The sequence below is a fragment of the Homo sapiens genome, chromosome 5 (genome assembly GCF_000001405.40).
Source record: "Homo sapiens chromosome 5, GRCh38.p14 Primary Assembly".
Classification (NCBI taxonomy): Eukaryota; Metazoa; Chordata; class Mammalia; order Primates; family Hominidae; genus Homo; species Homo sapiens.
In genome coordinates, this window is record NC_000005.10 from 80242535 (window position 1) to 80260250 (window position 17716).

The following is a 17716-nucleotide window of genomic DNA, read 5'->3' on the forward strand; positions in this document are numbered from 1 at the left end:
AGGTCAAGAGTTTGAGACCAGCCTGGCCAATATGGTGAAAGCTTGTCTCTACTAAAAATACAAAAATTAGCCAAGTGTAGTGGCATGCGCCTGTAGTTCCAGCTACTCGGGAGGCTGAGGCAGGAGAATCACTTGAACCCAGGAGGCGGAGGTTGCAGTGAGCCAAGATCTCACCACTGCACTCCAACCTGGGTGACAGAGTGAGACTCCATCTAAAAAAAATATATAACATAAAAAAAGTAACCGGGCGTGGTGACACATGCCTGTAATCCCAGCTACTCCAGAGGCTGAGACATGAGAATTGCTTGAACTTGGGAGACAGTGGTTGCAGTGAGCCAAGATCAGGCCTCTGCATTCCAGCCTAAATGACAGAGCAAGACTGCATCTCAAAATGTTACACATTGTTACATTTCTTCCCTGCTATACAAACCTCTAGTTTTAGTAGGTCAGGGAGACAGATTTGACACTGAGCTCCTATCTCCCTGGCTGCAGCACCCGATTAAAGCCTTCTTCCTTGGCAATCCTTGTCGATCTCAGTCGTGGGCTTTTTGTGTGCTGAGCAGCAGGACCTAGAGAGAACCCCTGGTCTTTAGGCAACATTCATAAGTTCAAGAGTCCCAGGGGGTGGCCCCTTCATTCTTGCTCCTTTAGTTCTACAATTATTTTTTAAACATACCTAATTCCCTATAGTAAATCTTCTTCTTTTTAAAATACCTAGAGTGATGTTGGCTTCCTACACTGAACCCTGACACACTGCATCACCACTTTACAGATAAAAAAAGACTCTTACATAAAACATCTGATTTGCATCCCTTCAACAATCACTAATATTGTTAAAGGGGATTTTATCTCTTTAACAACATTAGGGAGACAAGACAGGAATTTCCCCTACTTAACAAGAAAATTTAAGAACTAGGAACAGTAGTGAGCTCCCCAGCACTGGACAGATTCAAACACAGATGCACACTGAAGAGGGGCATTAAAAAGGACATCTAAGCTTCAGATGGGTCATTAAAAAAAAACAGATGCCTTTTAAGGTATCTTCCAAGAGTTTCTGTGGTTCCATAACCTGCCTCAAAAATCAAGCAAGGCTGGGCATGGTGGCTCACACCTGTAATTCTAACACTTTGAGAGGCCAAGGCAGGAGGATTGCTTAAGCCCAGGAGTTTGGGACCAGCCTGGGCAACATAGTGAGAGCCTGTCTCTATTTAAATAAATAAATAAATAAATAAATAAATAAATAAATAAATAAAACAAAATAAAATAAGCAAGCAGCAAAACCTGGATCTCTCCAGAACCAGACTTGCCTCTACAGAATTTTTCAAAGAACTGAATCCCAGTTGATGAGATTCCACAAACTTTCATAGAAAAAGTAGACGGTGGGGGAGCACAGAAAGTGGGGGATTTCTCTGAAGAAAAAAGGGGATGGAGGGCTACCCTTGGACTCGATTTTGGCAGAACTTAAAGAATAGTTAAACTTCAGCATCCTGCAATTTGGGGGCAGGAAGCTGTTTTCCTACTACCATCCTTTTAGGCCCAGCCCAGACCTCTTTAGGCTCTTAATCTGTGCTTCCTTTTATCTTAAAAGATAATAACCTCCCCTCCCTGGCTTCAGTTCCTCAGCTCCCCAGCATTTCTCTACCTTCTGCTGCCTGGAAACTGAGGCTGCCAAAACCCCCAAGCACTTTTTTTTTTTTTTGAGATGGGGTCTCGTTCTGTCACCCAGGCTGGAGTGCAATGGCACGATCTCGGCTCACTGCAACCTCTGCCTCTCAGGTTTAAGCGATTCTCCAGCCTCAACCTCCTGAGTAGCTGGGATTACAGATGTCTGCCACCAGGCCTGGCTAATTTTTGTATTTTTAGTAGAGATGGGGTTTTACCACGTTGGTCAAGCTGGTCTCAAACTCCTGACCTCAAGTGATACGCTGCCTCAGCCCCCCAAAGTGCTGGGATTACAGACAGGAGCCACCACACCTGGCCTTACTCTTTTTTTTATTTTTGGAAACATGGTCTCGGCCGGGCACAGTGGCTCACGTCTGTAATCCCAGCACTTTGGGAGGCTGAGGCGGGTTGATCAGGAGTTCGAGATCAGCCTGACCAACATGAAGGAACCCCATCTCTACTAAAAAATACAAAAATTAGCCGGGCCTAGTGGCATGCGCCCGTAATCCCAGCTACTCGGGAGGCTGAGGCAGGAGAAACGCTTGAACCCAGAAGGCAGAGGTTGCAGTGAGCTGAGATCGTGCCATTGCACTCCAGCCTGGGTGACAAAGCGAGACTCCGTCTCAAAAAAACAAAAACAAACAAAAAAAGAAACATGGTCTCACTCTGCCGCCCAAGCTGGAGTGTCGCAGATCAAAACTCATCCAGCCTCGACCTCCTGGGCTCAAGCGATCCTCCCACCTCAGCCTCCAGACAAGCCAGCACTCTCAAAAAATCCACAGGCACTGATCTTCGATCTTCCTCTCTCACTTGACTTCAAGTTGTCGTCTGACCAGGCCAGTTGGCTCCACACCTCTCCCCACCCTCCAGGCAGGCTCTACCTTCACTTAATTTCCTTTATTTCCCTGTTGGCTACAGGGAATGTGTGCCTTTTGAATTGGAGATGTTTCTCAAGGTTCCAAGGTTAGGCTTTCCTTCTCGTACTACAGCTGTTTTTTCCTGAGGTGAGATTTCCTTGAGAAGCTGAGAAATGATGGGGACTTTCTTCTTGGAAAAGTGTTCAGGACATAAACAACACAACTGTGTGTGCAACTGCAGGATTGCATGGATCTCTAGAGCCCATTCAGGAAAGAGGACCCACTCTCCCCGTGCTCCCCTGCATGGGCTCATCCACTTCTGGGGGCAAATGTCCCTGCCAAGGGACCCCCAGCTTCTACTCCTTTTCCAAAAGATAAAAGGTGCAAAGCTGAGGCAAACAAACCCTCAATCCAGTCTGTGAAGAAGCACTGGCCCAGGCACAGTCTCATAGGCTAGCAAATTCAGCATCTATTCACAAGTCACTCCCAAGCACAAGCAGGGCTAGCTACATACAGCCTCTGAACTTCATTATTCTAGGCACCCAGTGAATATTTATTTTTTTTTATTTTTTATTTTTTGAGACTGAGTCTCACTCTGTTGCCCAGGCTGGAGTGCAATGGCATGATCTCAGCTCACTACAACCTCAGCCTCCCATGTTCATGCAATTCTCGTGCCTCAGCCTCCTGAGTATCTGGGATTACAGGCATGTGCTATCATGCCTGGCTAATTTTTGTATTTTTAGTAGAGACGGGGCTTCACCATGTTGGCCAGGCTGGTGTCCAACTCCTGACCTCAGGTGATCCACCCGCCTCAGCCCCAAAAAATGCTGGGATTACAGGTGTGAGCCACCACACCTGGCCCCAGAGAATATTTATCAATTGACATTTTACTTTAGGGATTGTCAGCTCTTTAAAAAAAAAAAAAAAAAAAAAAGAGTAACAGCTAACAAAATAAGTCCAACAAAGTCCTAGAGTCCTTAGGGATAAGGCTAGCAAAGCTAAAGAAAAATTACCACTATAGAATCCTATTAGAGCAAACAGTTTCATTACTATGGAAACAAAATACTGCCATTGTTTCTGAGAATGGCAGTGGAGGAGATCAATGAGCATGGAATCAAGAACAAAAGACTGAATTCCTCCCTAGTTGGGGTGAACCACACTCACCAAGGATCAAAGCATTAGGAAATCAGCCCTCCATTAAATTGCTGAGACATAATGTGAGTGCAAAAACAAAACAAAACAAAACAAAAAAATGGAAAAGGCATTCCACAAAGACCTCATGAATTTTGTTTCAAAATGCACTTAGCTAGTTTATAAAAAAATGATACTTAAACACAAGTCTGATTTTCCCATCTTCGCTAGTTATCTTTTCATAAATAAGATTTAAGGGGTTATGCATGTGTTTTTCCTACTTTTGTTTTGACTACACAGTTTTCATGAGAGAGTGAAAATGCTGTCTAATCACTATATACTGTAACCTTACTTCAAAAACCCACAAATTGTTTCAAAATTTACTCTCTGATAAAAACCCACTAAGTCTTTCCACAACAGCTGCTTTCCTTAAACATCAGCAATTTTAATCTCACAAGGCAAACTACGGAAGAAAAGCCAAAAGTAAAATCCTGCTTCCCTTTAAAATTCAAACAGATGTTCTGTGTAATCACACCAACTCAGTATTTGAATTTCCTACTGCCCTATACTGACTCTCAGATTAAGTTCTAAAATGTTTTGAAATATCATTAATATATAAGCTAGAAGAATATGGGGATATTCTCACTGTAAATGTTTTAAAATACATTTTAAGCAGGGCAGCAAAGGTTTACTCTGGGCTACTTGGGATGCCTAATATTTGGGAACAATCACAGTGATTTAGAGAGGTAACTTGATTGATACTGTTCTCAGGATCCAATCATAACCCTAAATTCAACTGCAAACAGCAATATGTAAAATTCACCAACAATGCGGCTTGACTCAGAACACTAAGAAAACACTGGGTCTTTACAATTAGGCAGGTATGGCCACTTAAAGTACTAAAAATAGCTTGGTCAAAGAATTACATCCAATGGCTAGTTCTGTAGACATATCAGCTTATATGAAGACTTCCTTTTTAACATCAAGTTATCACAGATGATCTGGCCACATACTGCTCTGAAATAAAAGTAGACAATGCCATAATTACTGCAGTGCCCTTTCTGAGGCTCTAACTGGTGACTACATTAAAATACCTGGAAAACTGGAAAGTAAAGCTTCCGTGTCTCATAGTCACTCCCAGATACTCAGTATCTGTGGGAAATCTACAGCCTCTATACAGAAAACGAGGGCGGAAAGCAAGCAATGGGGAAGGGGGTGTTACCTTTTATTTAATTAGCACAGAGAGATGAGTCAGAGGCTGCCTTCCACGCCTACAGACTGGCCTCTCCTCAACCGTGCCTACAAAGTCAGACTTGCTGCAGTCCAAAGCTATTTGTCAGCTGGACAGGTCAGCTACAGAGCTGCCCAAGAAAACATATTTGAATGAGCAACCATCAAGCAACTCTCCAACTAAGAGTGCAACCTTCACTCTCCATACTGTTCAAGGTAAGTGACAGAGGATTACCTGACAACCTGAATTTAGCTACACTACACAAAGACACTCCTAAGCCACCCTTCCTGTATCAGCTCACCAGTGAGCTATACAGAGTAGTCCCTCCTTACCCAAGGAGGATGTGTTCCAAGATCCCCAGTGGATGCCTGAAAGTGTGGATAGTACCCAACCCCATATATACTGTGTTTTTTCCTGTATATACATACCTATGAGAAAGTTTTGTTGTTTAAGACAGGGTCTCACTCTGTCACCCAGGCTGGAGTGCAGTGACACAACCATGGCTCACTGCAGCCTCGACCTCCCTGGGCTCAGGTGATCCTCCCACCTCAGCCTCCCAAGTAGCTGGGACTATATAGGCACACACACCACCATGCCCTGGCTAATTTTTGTTTTTTGTAGAGACAGGGTTTCTCCATGTTGCCCAGGCTGGTCTCTAACTCCTGGGCTCAAGTGATCCACCCACCTCAGCCTCTGAAAGTGCTGGGATTACAGGCATGAGCCACCTTGCCTGGCCTCATGATGAAGTTTAATTTCTAAATTAGGCACAGTTAAGAGATTAACAACAATAAGAAATAATAAAATCAAACTCTTATGACACTATGCCAACATCACTACTCTTGCGCTTTGGGGCCACTAAGTCAAATATAGGTGACTTGAACGACTTGAACACAAAGACTGCAATTCTGCGACAGTGGATCTGATAACCGAGATGGCTCCTAAGTGACTAAGGGGTGAGGAGCATAGGTAGACAGCTAGACAGCATGGAGATGCTGGCCAGAATTGATTCACATCCCGGTGGGATGGAGTGAGGTTTCATCACACTATTCAGAACAGGGCATAATTTAAACCTGTGAATTGTTTATTTCTGGAATTTTCCACTTAATATTTTCATACCCCAATAGACCTCAGGTAACTGAAACCACAGAAAGCAAAACTGCAAGTAAAGGGGTACTACCGTATTTAGCCAACATCAACCAAAACACCACCTTGACAGAACAATTATAGGGCACTTTACTGCATTGTGCCCACATCTTTATAAAGATGAACAGGAAAATAAAAGTGCCAGTGCTAGTGATAAGAAACACAGGCCTCAATGTTAATGCAGTGGAAGCAAAGATGGCCACCATCATACAGCAGGAAAACAGTGACTCAACCACCATTTGGACAGACGTTATCTGTGAAAGTAATTGTAAAAAGAAAAGGTCAAAGTTAAAGAAAATGTTGAAAATGACAGAAATATATTGTCAATGATGCCATCTAACAGAGATGAAATTAGGGATTTTTTTTCATTACTTTTGTCCTTTTGGGAATAGAAACACACCCAAACCTCTTAATGCAAAAGCTCATTAAGTGACTTTCACACATTCAACATTAACACCTCTGAAGAAACCATCAGGCCGGGTACGGTGGCTCACGCCTGTAATCCCAGCACTTTGGGAGGCCAAGGCGGGTGGATCACGAGGTCAGGAGATCGAGACCATCCTGACTAACATGGTGAAACCCCGTCTCTACTAAAAATACAAAAAAATTAGCCGGGCGTGGTGATGGGTGCCTGTAGTCCCAGCTACTCGGGAGGCTGAGGCGGGAGAATGGTGTGAACCTGGGAGGCGGAGCTTGCAGTGAGCCGAGATCGCACCACTGCACTCCAGCCTGGGCAACACAGCGAGACTCTGTCTCCAAAAAAAAAAAGAAACCATCAAGTTTGAAGGTAGAAGACTATCTACATATGAATGTAAACCCAGAAAACATTAACAGCTACAATAAGTGGTGGGTGCATGTTAAAAAAAACTTTATCAGTCACCTCATAATTATGCAAAAAGAGTGGGATCAAATACAGCACTTCCAACAAAATCCCAACTTTGCAAAGTAAAATTATAAATATCGGCCGGGCACAGTGGCTCAGTCCTGTAATACCAGCACTTTGGGAGGCTGAGGCGGGCAGATCACCTGAGATCAGGAGTTCAAGACCAGCCTAGCCAACATGGGGAAACCCCATCTCTACTAAAAACACAAAATTAGCTGGGCGTGGTGGCGGGCACCTGTAATCCCAGCTACTCAGGAGACTGAGGCAGGAGAACTGCTTGAACCTGGGAGGCGGAGGTTGCAGTGAGCCAAGATCACGCCATTGCACTCCAGCCTCGGCAACAAGAGCGAAAACTCTGTCTCAAAAATAAAAAAAAATAAAATAATAAATATTAAATATAAGTAACTGACTATAAAGCATCAAAATGTGGTTCTCTCTGGGTAATGATATGTGTGATTTCCCTCTGTTTCACAAATACTTCCCACATTGTTCAAAAAAGTATCATCATGGAAATAATGAATTTTTGTAATTGGATCCCTTCCAGTGGAAGCACCATGTAATATAATGAGGACCTAACATTTCCAATCACTATAAACAAAGAGCAATAGGGAACAAGAGTTCTGTAACCAAAAGAGCTCAACAGGGGGTTCAGCTAGGTCACAATAAGTGCTCTGCTTATAAGAAGAGAGGAAACATCCTTGCAGTAGCCAGGATTTAATTCCAATGCATCAGATGACCCAGTACTAAGTGGTGCAATCAAGTCCACGAAGCAGAAATTCTGTGAGGACTCTCAAAACAAGAGAAAGATCATTACTGAGGAAACATTAATTGAGCTGGGACCTCAAAGTAGAGATTTGGGTTTTACAGTGAAGAAGGAAGGACATTTTGGGGGAAACATCATCATTATTATTATTTTTTGAAACGGAGTCTCGCTGTCTTGCCCAAGCTGGAGTGAAGTGCCATGATCTTGGCTCACAGCAACTTCAGCCTCCCAGGTTCAAGCGACTCTCCTGCCTCAGCCTCCTGAGTAGCTGGGATTACAGGCATATGCCATCACGCCCAGTTAATTTTTATATTTTTAGTAGAGACAGGGTTTCGCCATGTTGGCCAGGCTGGTCTCGAACTCCGCCCACCTGAGCCTCCCAAAGTGCTGGGATTATAGGCGTGAGCCACCATGCCCGGCCTGGAATCATCATTATTGTATGTGGTGTGTAATTTATTTTTTAAATAAGTCTTCTTCATGGACTCTGTGTATGTGGGTGTGTGTTTTAAGCTGCATTATAGGGGCATCAGTTGCCCTGATAAGACCCCTATTCCAGCAAACATTTAATCAAAGGCCACACAGCTGGCCTAATTGCATTTACAGCGACCAACCCTTTGTAACTTTTCACTTTCCTGACTCTTGAGCCACCGCTCACTCCCCTCCTTACTCCCTTATGCTCACTTTAAAAGGCCTAGTCACCTCTGCACAAAATCGAATGGAGCTCAGCTCTTTCCCCTACAGTCAATAGTTACTGAATAAACGTGTTTTTACTGCTTTAACTAATGTCCCGCTTTGTTTATCTTTGATGATGGATAGTTCCTGGTGGCATTCAAGGCTTTGTTAATTAACATAACGGACATCAGAAATGAGTTTTACTAGCCTGGGCAGCAAAGCCAGACCCAGTCTCTACAAAAATTTTTAAAAACTGGCCAGGCATGGTAGAACGCACCTGTAGTCCCAGCTACTTGGGAGGCTGAAGCAGAAAGATTGCTTGACCCCAGGAGTTGGAGGCTGCAGTGAGCTATGATTGAGCCACTGCAATCCAGCCTGGGCAAGAGCTAGATCCCATCTTTAAATACATACATGCATACATACATACATACATACATACATACATACATACATACATACATGGGTTTTCATTGAGGAAAATCTTGGTGATCTAGAAATAGGATCTGGCTGGAAATACCTGGGCCTGGGCATTCCTGCCTTGCATAAACTGGCTATAAAGATAGAGTGAATAGGGCCGGCGCAGTAGCTCATGCCTGTAATCCCAGCACTTTGGGAGGCAGAGGCGGGCGGGTCACCTGAGGTCAGGAGTTCGAGACCAGCCTGGCCAAGATGACAAAACCCCATCTCTACTGAAAATGCAAAAATTAGCCAGATGTAGTGGCAAGTGCCTGTAATCCCAGCTATTCAGGAGGCTGAGGCAGGAGAATCGCTTGGACCCGGGAGGCGGAGGTTGCAGGGAGCCAAGATTGCGCCACTGCACTCCAGCCTGGGTGACAGAATGAGACGCTGTCTCAAAAAAAAAAAAAAAAAGACAGAGTGAACCTTTACTCAGAATGGCAACCACAGGCTTGATCCTCCTGGTGCAATAGTCTTGGCTGCCCACCAACCAGACATTAGCTGAGTCTTGCCTACTAGAATGTTGGCGCATCTGCCTCGGGTGAACTTTTCAGGCAAGAAGCCTATTAATTTCAGCATTATTATTGTCATAAATGCCTATACTTGCCTGCAGCAAGCCCTCCCAATCCCTATTGTCAAACTGCCTTGGAAAGGTTGTCTAGATTTTCCAAGCACACACCTCACTTCCGCTCTGACAGTGAGCACTGTCATTTTCTTTTCTTTTCCTTTTTTTTTTTTTTTTTTTTTTGAGACAGCGTCTCACTCTGTTGCTCAGGCTAGGGTGCAGTGCTCAATATCAGCTCACTGCAACCTGCACCTTCCAAGTTCAAGTGATTCTGGTGCCTCAGCCTCCCAAGTAGCTGGGAATACAGGTCGTGCACCATCACGCCTGGCTAATTTTTGTTTTAGTAGAGACAGGGTTTCACCATGTTGCCCAGGCTGGTCTCGAACTCCTGGCCTCAAGCGATCCACCTGCCTCGGCCTCCCAAAGTGCTGGGATTACAGGCAAGAGCCACCATGCCCAGCCTGCACTGTCATTTTCTGTAGCTAACTTCCCCCAACACTCCCACCTCCACATAGCCCTTAAGTTAAAGGAGAACAAGGAAGCCCTGTGTTCATTACCGTGTCTCTAGGGGCCTAGCACAGAACTTTGAACCCATAAAGTGTTGAGTGACCACTCCCCTGTAATCTCTACTTTCTTAGCATCCATTAGCCAACAGCCTAAGCAAAACCAAAGTGAATATCAGAGTAGATACAAAAATAAAATAAGCTGATCTGGATATTATCCTGATGCAGATGGGTAATGGCCACTAATAAGATTTGGGGGGTTCCTCACACTCTGCCAAATCCTATATTACAGACTTTACACTTATCATCACATGTAATTTTCCCAATAACCCTAAGAAGTACCCATTCAATAGTTGAGGTAAAATGAGGTCATAGAGGGTAAGTAACTCATCCAGTCACACCAGTCCTCATTGTCCAGATTTCCAAATTGAAACCCAGGCCTGAGTCCAAAGCCCAGGCTCTTTTATGGGTTACATATTGTTCAGGATGGTCCGCAGTTAAAGAAAGTCACCAAAATGTCTCTCTCCGACCTCAAACTTCTCCCGACCTAAATACCTAATTGGTGACTTGCCATTTCCATTAAATTTATAATAGGCATCTCTAATGTAACGAAGCCAAGAAACTTGGGTTTTCCTCACCAAATGTCCTCTTCCTAACAATTTCCTACTTCACCTCAGTAATGCGATCATCATCTACCCAGTGGCTCAGGCCAGAAACCGAGCCTGTCTCATTCCCACATCCCACTTCTAATCCTTGCTCAAATCCAGTTCTACCTCTGAAATATACCCAAAGCCAATGATGTCCCACTGTACTCACTCCTACAGCCATAGCCTAAATTAAGGTACCACGCTGTCTCCTCCTGGGACTACAGCAACAGCAGATTGCCAGGATTCGAGCTCCATCAGGAAAGGATTTTTGTTCACTGCCGAAGCCTAGAACACTGCTTGCCCCTAAGAGGCAAATATCCACTTAGGTTTTCCTCACCAACTGCTTCATGACCAACTCGAACTGCTTTCCTCACCTCCACTCTAGCCCGTTACAGTCCAGTCTTCACGACATCCCAATTATCTTCTAAGTGCAAATCAAACCACAGCTCGCCCCTGCTCAGAATCCTCCCACAGCCTCTCACTGCAACCAGAATTAAATCCAAAGTCCAAAGGCAGCTGACAGGTTCTGGCCATTTCTGGTCCTGCTCTTCTCTCTGACCTCATCTAAGACACCCCAGCCACCCTAGACTCCCTTGCCTCTCCTCACTGAGCAGTCTCAACTCCACAGGCATCTTCTCAGACTCCCTCGGCAACCCTCCTCAAGGCTGCTTACCACACGGCCTTCTGACAGTACCAGTACCATATTCATTGTTTCATTGTTTACATGTTTATGAATGATCTCCCCTGCCCAGATAGGCCATTGAGAGCAGAGATGCTTGTCTGACTTATGACTATATAGCAGGCTCCTGGCAAAAGGCAGGTGCCCACAGAAACAAACAAGAATTGGTAACTTCTGACGGTGCTGTGAGGTTTTGTTTGCTTTCCTTTCTTTTGAGATGGAGTTTTGCTCTTTTTGCTCATTGCCCAGGCTTGAGTGCAATGGCGTGATCTCAGCTCACCACAACCTCTGCCTCTGGGTTCAAGCGATTCTCCTGCCTTAGCTGTGTAGCTGGGATTACAGGCATGCGTCATCACACCCGGCAATTTTGTGTTTTTAGTAGAGATGAGGTTTCTCCACGTTGGTCAGGCTGGTCTCCAACTCCTGATCTCAGGTGATCCGCCCGCCTCTGCCTCCCAAAGTGCTGGGATTACAGGCATGAGCCACTGCGCCCAGCCTGTTTGCTTTTCTTTTAACTTCCTACCGCCCCATCCACAGGAAATCACAGTGTGATCACCATCACACAGCACTGAGGCCCACCACAGTGATGCCTCCAGCAGGCCTGGGAAAGCAGGGGTTAACTTTGATTTGGTTCTTTCCAAAGTCCTAAGAGGGGAGACTTTAGAAACCTGCTAAAACATCAACAGCAAAATAATTCTTTTACAAAACCCATTTGAATACTGGTAATTACAGAGCTCTAAATTAGGAACTTGGGAATGGCAGAAAGAGCCTCAAGGGGACTTCAAGGGACCAGGACAGATGCCCCTAAAGAGCTGTATCATTACTACGTAATAAAAAGTGTCGCATCATATTGGAGAAAAAGTATTTCAAAACGGGAATAAAAGATTTGCAGAGCTTTCTGAAAACAGTCTTTCCTGGTCCACCTTGTTCTCAAATACCTGGTAAGGTGGTGACCATTCTCATTCTCTTTCTCTCTCTGCCTGACACAGGGAAAAAAAATCATTTCGTCTCAGTCGTCAAAAGCCTCAATTTCCTCAACTCTGAAAAGGCCAGCTTTAATGTATGCCAAGCACAGTATTAGACCTCAAAAACCAAGACAGCTCCACGTGGCCACTCTAAACAGGACAGATTATCTGCCAGTATAATCGCCGGTTACAGAAACCCACAGTTTAACCACTCCATCACTTACAGCTGGCCTCGATTGTGGAAAGGCTGAGTGTCAGCAAGAACACCCCGAACCAGGATGCTCCCTAGAGTCTGATTCGTTCGTGAAAACACTCCATTAAAACTCTGTACCGAAACGCTGATAATCCACATGTAAAGGGAGAAAAGAGCTCCACATCCAAGAGACTCACCTACTTCGTTTTTTCTAACTCTGCAGGAAGGAGTGAAACCAGCATTACAGGGCTAAGACGTACTAATTCTACACTGATGCAGTAACTGGTAGGAGACATAATGTTTTAAGACATCATAGGTTTAAATAGGCGAGAGTTAAAAAACAGGTTCGAACAAGTTTATTTGCAAAGAGAGGCAGGAAGGTTCCAGCCCTACCCAGGCAGTCGTGCTAGTACCGAGCCAGGGTTGGGTCGGGAAATTCAGGAAGCAGGGCTGAGTTTTCCCTTCGCCCAGACCTGCGCCCGGTAGTTTGGAAGTCAGGCTTCGAGACATTCTCAAAGGTACAGAGCCCACGCTCGACTACGAGATGCCAAGCGCAACCTGCCTGGGTTGTTTGACCCGAGTTTTATTCAGGGCATAGCAAAGGAGACGGTGCCTAAACCCACTTTTCTTCCTGGATTCATCCGACAAGCAGAGTGGAGAGGGCTACGGAGCTCAGCGCTATTCACCAGTGCTCGGCGCAAGAGGCGACACGCCCCTGGAGCAGTCGGGATCCTCCGCCCGAGCCCGGCACGCCCCGCTCCACGCGGAGTCCCGGAGGCCGGACGGGAAGACCCCGGGGTAGCCTCTCGGGCTTCCCCCTGCCCCTTCCCGCCCGCCCAGGGCACAGGATTTCCCGGACGGCTGAGCGCCGCGGGGCCAGCCCGAGCGACCCACCCGGGCCCTACGTTCGGCCGCGGAGCTGGGAGCGCACCCAGGCAGGTCCTCCACGCCTGGACTCCTGGCCCGGTTCTCCGATCTGACAACCCCCGCGCTGCGCCCGGCCTCGCTCACCTGGCCCGCACAGCACTGAGCTGACATCGCGGCGGCCAATGCCGAAGGCGCGCTCGCTGGCTCCCCGCGCCGCACGGGCCCTCCTGGCTGCCTCGCGCCTCGAGCGCTGGGCTCAGCCGCAGCTCACACTTGAACGAAGATCAGCCTCGGCGAAGCGCCTAGGCGCCGAGGCCTGGGTAAAAACAACTGCGGCCAAGCCCCGCCCCGCCGCCGGCCCCGCCTCGCCCGCCCCCAGCCCCGCCCCGTGCCCGCCCCTTCCCGGGCGCCCGGCGGCGGAGCAGGCTCGACCCGGGCTCGCACTTCCGCTGGCGTCAGGCGGGTGGGCTGCTGCGATCACTTCCCGGTTGGGGCGCCGAGCTCCGGAGTCGGCCGCCAGCCTTTGGGCCCCACGCTCCGGGTCTGGTGCGCGGTCTGGCCGCGCTCGGGCCCTCGCCAAATGAGAGCGCAGCGCCTCTCCGCCTTCGGATCCAGAGAAAGAGCTTGTTGCTGCCTCTAAAAGGTTGGAGCCTTAGTAAGCGGTTCCTGCCTTTCCTGCACAGACCAGACCGCCGGGTGCTGGTCTGCGCTCTGCCGCGCGCCGACTGGGACAGCCCACCCACGAGATCCTTGTTCCTGAAATCCCTTTCCTTCCCTCATCTGCCAAGAAAACTTTCAACTTTTGGGCTCTCCGCGCCTCCCAAGCTTCCTCGAATCCCTGGGCCCTTGACTGTTCTGCCCTGATGGCACTTGGTGAGAGATCCATTGAGAGCCCTTTCCGTGCCTTCCTGAATATTGATATGTTTTCCAGCCTCTCCTCCTGCGCTGGCCCAAGGACTCATTTTCCGTCCCTGCTTCCTCACTAAAAAGAGGGTGCCCAATAATTGCTTGTTCCATACAGAAGGCAGGGAGGCCGTCTCTAGGTTTTCTCCCACTCAGATCTGCTGTCCTCACAGCCACCTCCCCAAGAGGAATGAAGGTATTTCTTTTTTTTTTTTCTTTTTTTTCTCTGAGACGGAGCTTCACTCTGTCGCCCAGGCTGGAGTGCAGTGACGCGATCTCGGCTCACTGCAACCTCTGCCTCCCGAGTAGCTGGGATTACAGGCGCCTGCCACCACGCCCGGCTAATTTTTTGTATTTTTAGTAGAGACGGGGTTTCACCATCTTGGCCAGGCTGGTCTCGAACTCCTGACCTCAGGTGATCCGCCCGCCTCGGCCTCCCAAAGTGCTGGGATTACAGGCGTGAGCCACCGCGCCCTGCCGGAATGAAGATATTTCTGTTAGTGCGATTTTTGCGCCAATCCCTTTGCTCTTTCAAATAAGCATTACCGTACCCATTTTAGCGGTGAGGCAACTGAAGCCCAGAGAGGTTAAATAACTTGCCCAAAGCCTCACAGCAAAGTTGAGGAAGTAAAACTGGGCCTGGAATCCACTCGTCTGATCCCCTGGCACATGACGCAAGGCTTGACCTTAGAGGGACTCGTTTCCAGACAGAGCTCTGGCAAAGGAGTGTCTTGGGCAGCTTAGGAGTAGAAGAGGAAAGGTGAATGGAAACCAGGCCTTGGGTTATGAGCTGCGCAGGATTTTCCAGCATCTCAGATGCAGGCGTTTAGAGAAAGAGATATAATGGAGCAGGCCCTACTCAGAGCCACGAAAAGGAATGAGGACAGTTGGCTCTAACTCAAAACAAAAATAGGGTAAACCCAATCAGTCAAGCGCAGCAACCTGCTCCGTGGCGATCTGTGACTCATCAGAAGCTGAGGCTCTCACCAGGACTTTCTAATGAGCTTCGCTGTTGGCTACGACCGCGGTCACTTCACTTCAGCCCTACTCCTGGCCTGGGGAAATGGGCAGGCCCCCTAGTAGCTCGGGGTGGGGAGACGGGTGGAGAGGAAGGAGGGGCGAAAAGGGAAGGCGCGAAATCTACAAATGTTTAAGCCAGCTGGAACTCCGATGCCTCTTTGCCTTTTAGGGAAATTGACTCGACTCGGAACTCGAGGACCTTTCACAAGAGACCACTGGGTTAGGGGGCAGAGCTGGTAATAGAATCCAGCGCTCCGAACCCTGAATCATGTCCTCTTTTTGCTGCTGAGGCTCAGGCCACAGCACCCCAAATTATGACTGTAGAATACCAAAATATGCTATCCCAAAATACACTTGTTTGGCACATTTCAAGCTGGTTATTCTGAGAAACTGCAGACACGGGAGTAGCTCTGAAAAGCTGTCCTTTTGTAAAGCAAATTTACATCTATAAAGGAAGTCCACATAGTAAAAGTATCTGTGTCAGGAAGGCAGCTGCTCAGAGAACTTTTATTACATGAGAGACTTTACATAACAAGGCAACTTTTTTTTTTTTTTTTTTTTTTTTTTTTGAGGCAGAGTCTCGCTCAGTCGCCCAGGCTGGAGTGCATTGGCATGATCCCGGCTCACTGCAACCTCCGCCCCCCGGGTTCAAGCGATTCTCCGGCCTCAGCCTCTGAAGTAGCCGGGATTACAGGCGCGCGCCACCGCGCCCGGGTAATTTTTGTATTTTTAGTAGAGACGGGGTTTCACCATGTTGGTCAGGCTGGTCTCGAACTCCTGACCTCGTGATCCGCCCACCTCGGCCTCCCAAAGTGCTGGGATTACAGGTGTGAGCCACCGCGCGCAGCCACAAGGCAACATTATTTACCATACATTTCCTCCACTAACCCTCCTATATCCTACCTGTGGTGCCTCCCCACTGTCCCCACAGAAGCCCCAAGCCCTTATTTATTTCTAGCTCAGAATGCTATAAGCTTCAATCATCTGGCCCTTCATGTTTTGTGAGATTCCTGTGCTGCTGCGTATGCAGGTAATTAAAACGGTTTTTCTTCTGTTAATCTGTCTTATGTCGGCCAGGCGTGGTGGCTCATGCCTGTAATCCCAGCACTTTGGGAGGCCGAGGTGGGCGGATCACGAGGTCAGGAGTTTGAGACCAGCCTGACCAACATGGTGCAACCCCATCTCTACTAAAAATACAAAAGAAGTAGCCGGGCGAGGTGGTGCGCACCTGTAATCCCAGTTACTCAGAAGCTGAGGCAGGAGAATCGCTTGAACCCAGGAGGCGGAAGTTGCAGTTAGCCGAGATTGTGCCACAGCACTCCAGCCTGGGCGACAGAGCAAGATACCGTCTCAAAAAAAAAAAAAAAAATCTCTGTTATGTCAATTTAATTTGCAATCCAAGTAAAGAACCTAGAAGGGTAGAGGGAAGCCATTTTTCCCTCCCCTACATTGCTAGTTCCATGCCAATGTGAGAGGACTCTGAGAATGTGGATGTCTGCCACCTGGAGAAAGAGTCTTAATAACCTGGGCACTTGGCCAGGCACGGTGGCTCACACCTGTCATCCCAGCATTTTCAGAGGCAAAGGTGGGTGGATCACCTGTGGTTAGGAGTTCAAGACCAGCCTGGCCAACATGGCGAAACCCTGTCTCTACTAAAAATACAAAAATTAGCCAGGCAGGGTGGTGGGCACCTGTAATTTCAGCTACTCAGGAGGCTGAGGCAGGAGAATCACTTGAACCCAGGAGGCGGAGGTTGCAGTTAGCCTAGATGGTGCCATTGCACCCCAGCCTGGGCAACAAGAGCAAAATTCTATCTCAATAGATAAATAAATAAATAACCTGGGGACTTGTAGCCTCTATTGAAAGGTACCAGAAAAGGATAAAGCCTGAGTTTTCAAGCCAGGAAGTTGCAAATTCTAACTCTACCAAGAAGTAGCTGGGTGACCTCCAAGCCTCAGTTTCCTCATCTTCAAAACCAGGTTAATAGTGTCAGAGGCATTTGAACCAGAGAGACTCCATCTTGAATAGGGACTGGGTAAAATAAGGCTGTGACCTGCTGGGCTGTATTCCCAGGAAGTTAAGGCATTCTTCGAGGATGAGATGGTGGGGGTCAGCACAAGATACAGGTCACAAAGACCTTGCTGGTAAAATAGGATGTAGTAAAGGAGCCGGCCAAAACCCATCAAAATCAAGATGGCGACCAAAGTGAGCTCTGGTCGTGCCCACTGCTCATTATACACTAATTATAATTCATTAGCATGCTAAAAGACACTCCCACCAGCACCAGGACAGTTTACAAACATCAGGAAGTTACCCTATATGGTCTAAAGGAGGAGGAACCCTCAGTTCTGGGAATTGCCCATCCCTTTCGCGGAAAACTCATGAATAATCCACCCCTTGTTTAGCATATAATCAAGAAATAACTATAATTAGTTGAGCAGCCCATGCTGCAGCTCTGCCTATGGAGTAGCCATTCTTTACCTCCTTTACTTCTCTAATAAATTTGATTTCACTTTATGGACTTGCCCCAAATTCTTTCTTGCGTGAGGTTCAAGAACCCTCTCTTGTGGACTGGA

At 47.2% G+C, this 17716-nt stretch overlaps 1 protein-coding gene across 7 annotated transcripts in view, besides 9 other annotated features; it reads right to left on the reverse strand.

Moving 5' to 3' along the window:
- SERINC5 (serine incorporator 5) overlaps positions 1-13514 on the reverse strand; it is a 144824-nt gene extending 131310 nt beyond the window's left edge. For all 7 annotated transcript variants that reach the window (NR_126060.2, NR_126061.2, NM_001174071.3 and 4 more), the window contains exon 1: positions 13362-13514. Coding sequence is in view for 4 of the 7 variants with exons in the window: in NM_001174071.3 (NP_001167542.1) it covers positions 13362-13388 (27 nt within the window). In the remaining 3 variants the exon portion in view is untranslated. The remainder of the gene's footprint in view (positions 1-13361) is intronic.
- Positions 3518-4020: an enhancer, noted in NCBI's record as "OCT4-NANOG-H3K27ac-H3K4me1 hESC enhancer chr5:79541871-79542373 (GRCh37/hg19 assembly coordinates)". NCBI's record gives its function as "activates a minimal SCP1, AML or CMV promoter by ChIP-STARR-seq in naive H9 embryonic stem cells {active_cell/tissue: H9 hESC(naive)}" and the evidence as "EXISTENCE:reporter gene assay evidence [ECO:0000049][PMID:30033119]".
- Positions 4736-5030: an enhancer, noted in NCBI's record as "tiled region #10230; K562 Activating DNase unmatched - State 5:Enh". NCBI's record gives its function as "activates a minimal TATA promoter and a strong SV40 promoter by Sharpr-MPRA in K562 cells {active_cell/tissue: K562}" and the evidence as "EXISTENCE:reporter gene assay evidence [ECO:0000049][PMID:27701403]".
- Positions 6676-7243: an enhancer, noted in NCBI's record as "H3K4me1 hESC enhancer chr5:79545029-79545596 (GRCh37/hg19 assembly coordinates)". NCBI's record gives its function as "activates a minimal SCP1, AML or CMV promoter by ChIP-STARR-seq in naive H9 embryonic stem cells {active_cell/tissue: H9 hESC(naive)}" and the evidence as "EXISTENCE:reporter gene assay evidence [ECO:0000049][PMID:30033119]".
- Positions 12997-13276: a silencer, noted in NCBI's record as "silent region_16136". NCBI's record gives its function as "represses an Ori minimal core promoter by ATAC-STARR-seq in GM12878 lymphoblastoid cells {active_cell/tissue: GM12878}" and the evidence as "EXISTENCE:reporter gene assay evidence [ECO:0000049][PMID:35858748]".
- Positions 13387-13826: a silencer, noted in NCBI's record as "silent region_16137". NCBI's record gives its function as "represses an Ori minimal core promoter by ATAC-STARR-seq in GM12878 lymphoblastoid cells {active_cell/tissue: GM12878}" and the evidence as "EXISTENCE:reporter gene assay evidence [ECO:0000049][PMID:35858748]".
- Positions 13387-14613: a biological region, named in NCBI's record as "NANOG-H3K27ac-H3K4me1 hESC enhancer GRCh37_chr5:79552033-79552966".
- Positions 13680-14613: an enhancer, noted in NCBI's record as "NANOG-H3K27ac-H3K4me1 hESC enhancer chr5:79552033-79552966 (GRCh37/hg19 assembly coordinates)". NCBI's record gives its function as "activates a minimal SCP1, AML or CMV promoter by ChIP-STARR-seq in naive and primed H9 embryonic stem cells {active_cell/tissue: H9 hESC(naive and primed)}" and the evidence as "EXISTENCE:reporter gene assay evidence [ECO:0000049][PMID:30033119]".
- Positions 14614-15547: an enhancer, noted in NCBI's record as "NANOG-H3K27ac-H3K4me1 hESC enhancer chr5:79552967-79553900 (GRCh37/hg19 assembly coordinates)". NCBI's record gives its function as "activates a minimal SCP1, AML or CMV promoter by ChIP-STARR-seq in naive H9 embryonic stem cells {active_cell/tissue: H9 hESC(naive)}" and the evidence as "EXISTENCE:reporter gene assay evidence [ECO:0000049][PMID:30033119]".
- Positions 15548-16479: an enhancer, noted in NCBI's record as "H3K27ac-H3K4me1 hESC enhancer chr5:79553901-79554832 (GRCh37/hg19 assembly coordinates)". NCBI's record gives its function as "activates a minimal SCP1, AML or CMV promoter by ChIP-STARR-seq in primed H9 embryonic stem cells {active_cell/tissue: H9 hESC(primed)}" and the evidence as "EXISTENCE:reporter gene assay evidence [ECO:0000049][PMID:30033119]".